This window comes from Homo sapiens, chromosome 4 (genome assembly GCF_000001405.40).
Source record: "Homo sapiens chromosome 4, GRCh38.p14 Primary Assembly".
Taxonomy (NCBI): Eukaryota; Metazoa; Chordata; class Mammalia; order Primates; family Hominidae; genus Homo; species Homo sapiens.
The window spans coordinates 132,516,202-132,525,675 of NC_000004.12; the positions used below are offsets into that span (position 1 = coordinate 132,516,202).

General features: G+C 34.0%; 1 annotated feature.

The window, feature by feature from the left end:
* Window positions 2,667-3,866: an enhancer, noted in NCBI's record as "CDK7 strongly-dependent group 2 enhancer chr4:133440023-133441222 (GRCh37/hg19 assembly coordinates)". NCBI's record gives its function as "activates an origin of replication core promoter dependent on BRD2, BRD4, P300/CBP, MED14 and CDK7 cofactors, with strong dependence on CDK7, by STARR-seq in HCT116 cells {active_cell/tissue: HCT116}" and the evidence as "EXISTENCE:reporter gene assay evidence [ECO:0000049][PMID:35650434]".

Sequence of the window (9,474 nt, forward strand, 5' to 3'; positions counted from 1 at the left end):
ACAATCTACTCTGAATATAAAACTTTCACACAAAAATAACAATAATTTATTGTTGAAGTATAGTAAATGACACCATATATCTGCATTTTCTGATTTAAGAAATACAAGTCATTTTGACTGTCAAATTGTCCAAAATGACTGGTTTGTCTATTCTGTTTATTTGGCTGTAAAAATTTGCCATTTATAATTTATTACTATGATGTTTCTAAAGAAATCTATGAAAATGTTTAACAAAATAAATTTTAAAGCTTAACTACATTAATTGCAAAACAATAAGAAAATACCAGGCAATTATTTTTTAAAAGCATATACAATTTAAGCTTACTATTGAATCTTCTCTAAGAGAGAATTTGCTCCAACTTTATGAGAGAAACAGCACAGATTTCAAGGATTTCCTATAGCTGAAAGCCTACTCACACACACACACACACACACGCACACACACACACACACACACACACACAGAGAGTGCACATTTTGGGCTAGGAAGAAATATACCATTAGGGAAAGAGGGAAGTCAAAATGAACTGTCCTACTGCAAATCCAAAATCTAGAAGATGACAAAAATAGTTGACTGGTGCTGGGCAAAAGCCTTCAAGCTACAATTCTAGTATAAAGTGATCACAGCATATTAGTGTTTTCATGTTCCTGGCAGAAGCAAATCAAACCTTCAGTGGAGAAAAGATTATTCCTTATAAAATTTAAAAAATTCCTGTAAGAATATTTTCAAGGGCATTGAACATGAAAGAATCAAACATAAGCATGCAAAGGGATTAGGTTCTAAGGTGTTAACCATTAGATATAAACCTTCAAATATTTTAGGCAATAAAAAAATCCCAGTTATGAGTCATTTATACATATCTAGAATAGTGAATGCTGTTACTAATTAGTTATATTTAAATTCCAGACATTCTGAAGCTGTTTAATAGGTTTGAAGAAACTAAAGACTAGCTTGAAAATATCTGCAATGATCATAAAACCAAAGAAGTTACTCAGTGGAATTAAAAAAAAGTAATCTATAAGAGCAGAATAGAACAAATGTAACTTACAATTCAATAAAGGAGTTTAACAACAGATTAGACACAGCTGGAGAAAGGATTAATGAAGTGAATATGACAGAAAAGGTTATTCAAAAAGCAGTGCTGAGAGGAAGAAAGATGGAAAACATAAAACAAGATGTTAACATGTAAGACAAAATAAGAAATTCTAAAATACATTTAACCATATTTCTAGAAGGAAAGGAAAGCAAAATTTGGTTTGCAGTAATATTTGAAGATGACAGAATTTTTCAAAAGTGATGAAAGTGTTTCTGAATGTGTTTACCACAGGCAGTGAAAGATAGTGGATAACTTAAAAGGCAACAACAACAAAAAAATTAAGCAATGTCAAGTCGTGATTTAAAATCAGTGATTCTGGAAATAGGGCCATCTAGGTTTGAATCCAGGCTGCAACTTACTAGCTTTGTGTCCTTGGACAAGCAACCACATCATTAAAACTCAAATTCTTCATTTACAAAATGTGGATTAGAGAGAGTTCACATATATATATATACTATGTTAGTACAATATTTAACATAACACAACAGGTGGTTAAAGATGAGTTTATCGTTTTGAAAAAAGAAACATACCAAAAATAAGAGAAGTTTTGCAAAGTAGTCATGAACAACAGCAAAAAAGACAAATTAGCTTCAAAGGCAAGGAAGTTAGCTAAACAACCAAAAGAATGGAAACCAGTGAAATGATAGCTTCAGTGGGCTGAAGGAACTAACTACCACCAGTATTGTACAGTGCTGTACATAGAGAAACTCTCTTTTGTGAAGAGGTGCAAATTAAGGACATGTTTAATATTAGTTGTTATTGTAAATTTAACACTAATTTGCCATATTTAAAACCTAGACATTTTGAGACTGTGAGAGTAAATTTTATTATGTTACTGTGGCTATATTTGATTATAAACTTAATAATTTTATAATATAAGCTAATAGTTATATAGTTTTAAAACTTTTGTTTCACCCAGAAATATGTCTTTTAGAAATATGAATGAACATATAAAATATGGCCTCCAAATATATCTTCTTAAACCATACCTAATCTCCAACTAAAGACAGTAACAAAGTCAGACTTCCATCTAACATGATATAACTATAGTCACTCCTTCATGTACATGGGACATTAGTTCCAGGAACCCCTGCAGATATCAAAACCCACCCATAATCAAGTCCCATAGTTGGCCCTGCAGAACTCAGGGATAGGAAAAGTTTTGCATACCATAAATAACTGCATTTTTAATCTGCATTTGGTTACAGATGAGAAACTTATAATGAAGGGCGCACTGTATTTATTGAAAAAAGTCTGCATATAGTAAGTGAACCCACACAGTTCAAACCCTTGTTGTTCAATGGACAACTGTACACACAATGGCAAATATTCTAACCCTTTTCCCAGAAGAGGATACAAGGTCCTTGGGTGATGTTCACTCTTATTTAATATTCTGTAAATCAAATACTGCTATATAAATTTATTATTAACCTTATGTTAGATGGTAAGGGTATAAGAGAAGGAAGAGAGCAAAAATTTAGTGTGTGTGTGTCTCACACACAAACTCCTAACAAACAAGAAATACCTGTAACTATTACAGATCTTCAGTGCTCATATCTGCAGCTGGTAACATGGTCATAATACCTTCTCCCATCACTTGTCTGTATTCCTTTTGCCCTGAGCAAGTACTTAAGCTAGTTGTGGTACTTGTCCAAGTGGAGCGACCCAAATCTTAATTCTTAAACGATCTGGAGTAACAGCAGTCCTTTCTGAAATCAGTTTTTATATTTTCCATTGACTTTTATCACAGTACATGGTAGGACTACTAAGAGATACTGTATGGGATCTGCTATATTCCAAACATACTTTTTCTTACCTTCACTGTGTAGTCGAAATCAAATTTTATATTGTTAATCAGAATCAATTACCTTGGCCTGTACACTAACCGCATTTTCTTTTTTCTCTCAATTCAGATGCATGGGAAGCTCAAAGTGGCCAGATGAGAGTTTCAACTTCCAGTTCAATGGACTCATTGTGGTGATTCATGGTGATACCTAATTCTTGATGGAAGTTTTCTTTTCTTTTGAAGTAAGACCTCTAGGCCAACAGAGTCTAAGGTCAAAAGGACAGGAAGCAAAAAATGTTTATATTACATTACTAGGGAAAACAGTGAGGGGAGCCACTCCTATCTCCCCACTTTGATTCCTGAACTAATTATTTTGTAGAAGAAATAGTACCATATAGTGGATGATGATATAGAGTAACCTGCAGGACAGTGTTTCAGTTGTGCAAGGTATTGTTACCACCAAGTGCTATAAGTGAGACTTCAAAATGCCAGTTCACCCTTAATACAGATAGATACATCAGGAGGAGAGAACATGGTCAGACCAGTGAATTCCATGTTAATGGGCCCAAAGCCACATATCATATGATGTGAACCAAATTACTTGATTAGAAACAATAATATGTAGAATACTATGATGGTAGATAAAGCATTCACTAAGCCCATGGATGATACTTTTGGCATAAGTCCATATTTGAAGTATCTATTCCAGTAAACAAAGTGTTGCTTTTTCCCTGAGAGAAAGAGCTCTATCTAATCAACTTGCAACTAGGTCGCTGGCTGATCACCTCAGGAAATGGAGCCATATCAGGCATCCATTGTCGTTCTCCACTGCTGGCAGATTGGGCAATCAGCAGAGCTATAGACAGTTCAGGTTTGGTAACTTGAGGTCCAGGTTGTTGAACCTATGCAAAACCTCCATTCATGCCATCATGATTACCTTTTTCATAAACCCAAAGAACAATGACAGGAGTGGATGGGGAAAGAGGTTGACTGATATCCATAGACTGAGTCATACTATCCTAGATTATTAAAAATCATCTGCTAAAGTCATCATTTGGGATACAAATATAATTTGCCCATTTAGAAAAGTCTTTCCACATACCTCTTCCCTAGACTTGCTTATCATCAATTTCACAGTTGTGTTCATTCTACTTCTTTGAGCATCCACCAAACCATTGGCCACTATCTGTGAATAAATACAGACTCTTACATCTGGCGATTTCAGCTCTGAGGTAACAGGAACAATCAGGTGTACTGCTCAAAGTTCCGTTCATTGGCAGGATTCCCTTCACCACTATTCTTCAGGAATGTCCCAGAAAACAGCTATCATGCTGTCACTGTTCACTTTTTGGTGGAGAGGCATATTGTGCAGTGTCATCTTTAAATGAGGTCTGTGTTTTCTCATTCTTAGTCAGTTGGTTGTAGGGAACTTCTCATGAAGCCATAGATGTAGGCCTGGTAGTATAGAAGGAGTAGGGGCTATGTGTATTTGGGCACTTTCTTACGCAATGTACTTTGTCTTCAGAGTCTGCTGACGCCCAGTGTCATGTAGGCCTCTTCTGCATATAGCCCAATGTCATATAGGTGCATGCCCAAACTTGCGGTCAGACAACACCCAGTTTATGATGTTTTGATGGGCAGCTCAGTTCCAATGGTAACTTGATTGCCTATGGTTACGTGCTTAGTCTTTATAAGGGCCTCATAGCAAGCCAAACACTGGTTTTCTAAAAATGTGTGCAGTCATATGCAGACTATGGCATAGCTTTGATCCAAAATTCTAAGGATCTGTGTTATCTTACCTATACAAGCTAACCGAAGGCACTAAATGACATTTCTGTCGGCCACTAACACTTTAAGCACTAACAAATCTGCTAGATCATATGGCCCTAGTAGCAAAGTAGTTTGCAGAGCAGCCTGTACCTATTGTAGAGCCTTTTCTTTTGCTGGACTTTATTTAAAACTAGCAGATCTTTCAGTCATTGATGTATTAGTCTTCTCTGTCTGCTTTAATGAAATACCACAGGCTGGGTGGCATAAACAATACAAATTTATCTGTCATGCTTATGGAGTCTGGGAACTCCCAGATCAAGGTGCCAGCTGATTTGATTCATAGCTTGTAGAGGTCCACTCCACTTTCTTGCGTGTCTTCACTTAGCCCATGCCACTTTTATTGTCCCCACAGCATTTAGCTTCTCATTTCAGTGGTAGCAGTTTCTACTGTAATTTCTGGCCAATCGAGAGAATAACTACACCATTCTTCAAGTATGATGAAACTCACTTCACACATTTATTTCTAACAATCATGGTAAAAGATGTGTTTTCTAGACCTTCTCAAAGTGGATATTCAAGTCTTATGTAATAATGCAATATATTTCAATACCCATAAGCCTTTGTATAACCACCCCTACAACAAATAAAGGCAATTTTGGCACTTCAGCTTCTTTTGCTGAAGGCTACATTTGAGTTCATGTTTCAGCAAACCAAGAAAACAAACTGCCAGAGCCATTTTTAGCACCTTAAGTTGCAACACTGAATGCAGAATATCTGCTTATGGGGCTCATACCAGAAAATTCATCCTGATTCAACTTTATATCATATTAAAAATGATTCCATGATTCCATCCCCATACAGTTTATACCCACATGTATTATCAGATTTCTGTATAAATTGAAAAAGTCATGCAGTTCATTTGGTCTGTAGCATACCTTATCAAAAACTGTACTTTGTGACTCAAACCTGTGGGGCATGCGGGGACATGAGTCTAGTATACAGTTCCAAAATCAAAGACTAGTGGTAGGGACAGGTCCCATTCCCTCTCAATCATGCCCTCACATAAGTAGAAATTTGTGTTTGTAATTTAATACTTAAAAAATGAGATTTGGATTTGCTTTTCAGAGACCTTGACCTGCAGCTAGAGGAGAAAAAAGGTTTATTTCAGGACCAGGTATCAATGATTTCAGATAATTTATGTGGACCCTGACTGTAAAATTTGAAACCCTAAGCCCATTCTTTTTCCATACATTCTCAGTGTAGTAACAGCCAGCTAACACTCATTTTGATAAAATACTCTAGAGGAAAAAATACGTGGTAACCCTCACCCTTGCTGTCTATAGGTATTTCGTTAGAATTATCTAATACCAGTATTTTGTGCATTTCTATTGTCATAAGTTTCCATGGACTACAAGTTTCCTCTTTACCACTGGAAATAGCCAACGGGTGATGGGAACACTATCAGAATGTCTAGAAATATCTATCTTTCTTTCTTTCTTTCCTTTTTTTTTTTTTTTTTTTTTTTGAGATGGAGTCTTGCTCTGTCACCCAGACTGGAGTGCAGTGGCGTGATCTCGGCTCACTTCAAGCTTCGCCTCCCGGGTTCACGCCATTCTCCTGCCTCAGCCTCCCGAGTTTCTGGGACTACAGGTGCCTGCCACCATGCCCAGCTATTTTTTTTGTATTTTTAGTAGAGACGGGGTTTCATCGTGTTAGCCAGGATGGTCTTGATCTCCTGGCCTCGTTATCCGCCCTCCTTGGCCTCCCAAAGTGCTGGGATTACAGGTGTGAGCCACTGCGCCCGGCTGGAATATCTTTCTTAATTCAAGTTGACTTCCTTAGAATCTACTGATTATGGACTTTAATCACATCTAAAAAATACCTTAGCAGCAACACCTAGATTAGTGTTTGATTGAATAACTGAGGACTGTAGCCAAGCCAAGTTTACACACCAAATAGACCACCACAAATACCAACGAAAAAAATATTGACGGCATAATTGCAAGAGCCTCAGGGAAAAAATTCAAAATGTTTAAATAAGTGTATTTAAGTGTAAATATTAGTAAGTATATTTGTGTGTATTATATAAAATCAGTAGCATATTTTAGCAATTGAGAACCTCAAATATTTCAAATATTCGAATTCAATGCTTATATTCCATATTTTGAATTTTTGACAAAGTACTGCTACTGAAAATAATGTGATTTTGTTTATATTTTATTTTATTGGGTTAAAAGTATAAGTAAAATATAGTGAGATTTACAGGACTAACCTCTTTACTTCTTTATCTCAAACTACCTTGTTTGCAGTTCCCTTTACAATCTGAATCCATAAACTACATTTTCTCACTGCTTACACGGCCTCCTTTGGTTCTATCAGTATGTTCATGGTTACATGTGACTATTATATTCATTTTTCGGTTGGCACTATTTTTTAATGTGGCTACGCTTTTCTGGTATAACTTTCATCTTGCTAACTCTTCTCGTCATTCTACCCAGGCTTTATCCACACCAGTTGTATAGGGTTCTGTGTTCTCCAAAGAGCAAATCTTGATTTACAGATTAATGTTTTCGTGTATTCTAAGACCTTACTTTAAATTATTCTTATCTACGAATTAATACATTTTTCTCTCCTAAGTCTTAGAATACAGGATATTATTTTCAAAATTATTTAATCTTACAGGCAAATTGTTGCACAATGCTGGAGAGTAGAGCAATATCAGGTACTAGTGAAAGCAAATTAAGTGGAATTCTATTGCTTTTATATGGTTTGTCTGTCATTCTTCTAATTCATGAAACTGGATAACTGACGTTTTTGTCTCTTTGCCAGAGAGTTTTGCTTATTTTAGTTGAAGCCTACAGTAACCACTTTCATAAGGCTTAAAACTAATTTATCTGCTTCATTTGGCTTATAGAGCGATTTTCAAATAGACTGGTTTATCTATACCCTAGGTTAAGAAATTTTAAACTATTAAAATTCAATAATCTTAAAATGTGCTAATTTGTAATGAAATTACTTTTCTACTCTTTAAAATTACTTAAATTTTTTGTTACGGTCAAATTTGTTTTTGTGATTACAAGTAATGGAATTTTTACATTAGAAATCATCTTCGTGTAAGTCAATGATTTAAAAAGTTATTTTAGGAATTATTTCTATTGTGTGTAACAAATTATTCCTCTTATGAAAGTTAATATTTCAAAATAGACTTATTTATGTCAATAATGAGCGTATGTTCTCCTCCTTCACTCTGTTCCTCCATAAATCAATCTATTTTGCATTAAGAAAATAAATCCTACCTATTATGAATTTTTACTGATTTTTTTCTCCCAACATTTGTACACTTCTCTCTACTTTTATAACACTCTTTGGATAACAAGAAAAATTAATTTGCAAACATTTAACAGCTGTTTTGGATATTTTCAAGCTTTTGTAGCTTTCAGTTACACTTTAATGTGTTTTTGGATTACATTGTCTTGTTCTTAACATATGTAATTAATATCTGTATTAAAAGCATACTTGTTCAAATTTGGTATAAATAGGACATATTACTATTCAATTACATAGAGACAACTGCAACATTGGCTTACAAAATTACTGTTTTTTCTTTCATCTGAGAAACTGGCATAAATCCAGAGAGTGCCAAGGATAATAATAGCAGTGACTTTAATTAAATTTAACATATTGATACTGTGAAATTTAGTTATTAAATTTTGATTCATAGGCATTAAAGAAAAATATACAAAATTACACTAACATTTGATCTAGCTTTCTGTGATATTATTAAAAACAAGCGAAAAAATCAGAATGAAGCCTCCCCAAAGAATTGAATTTCAGTATGGAATATGTGAAATCTCTTTAACAAGTTTTTAAATCTTTTTAAGCAGTGTCCAGATGGTCAATAACTTACCTGCAGTTACTATTACAGAAAATTAAAATAAGAATAATCCTTTATTCATTTTATAATCATCTGATTAGTTTTACCAGTGTAACGTTATACACATTTGCAGATAGCATCTTTTGAATATTGTGAAGAGAGATGCTATCATCTTTTATGTATACACATTTGTTTAAATACTTGTGTTTTTTTTATTCTTTAGATATGTAACTAAGGCTGGAATTGTTAACACATAGGGTAGTTCTATGTTTAATTTCTTAAAAACTGAAATTTGTTTTTCCACAGTGACTACATCATTTTACATTCCAACAGCAATGTTCAATGGTTCCAGTTTCTCCATATTCTCTCTAATACTTGTTATTTTCTTTTAAAAAATTATACCAATCCTAGTGAATATGAACTTGTATTTTGTGGTTACAATTTACATGTCACTATTGACTAATAATGTTTAACATCTTTTCATGTGATTTTTGTCCACTTGTGTATATTTAGAGAAATGTTAATTCAAGTCTTGTGCCAATTTGTGAATTTAGATGTTTATCATTTTGTTGTTGAGTTGTTACAGTATATTTATTCTGGATATTAGACCTTTTTTGTATACATCATTTGCATTTTTTTCATCCTGTGTTTTGTCATTTACTTTCTTGATAATGTCATTTGAGGGACAAAAATTTTTCATTGAGGAAGTTTATTAATTTATTTTGTTTGTTGCTGTTATTGCTTGTACTTTTGGTGTCTAAGAATCCATTGCCAAATACAAAGTTATGCTAATTCATTCTACGCATTCCTCTGAGAGTTTTATAGTTTTAGTTCTTAGATTTGCTATTGATTCATTTTAATTTAATTATTTTATACACTGTGTTGTAACAGTTCAGCTTAATCTTTTGCATTCAGTAAACACTTGTTTCATTACTATTTGTTGAAGA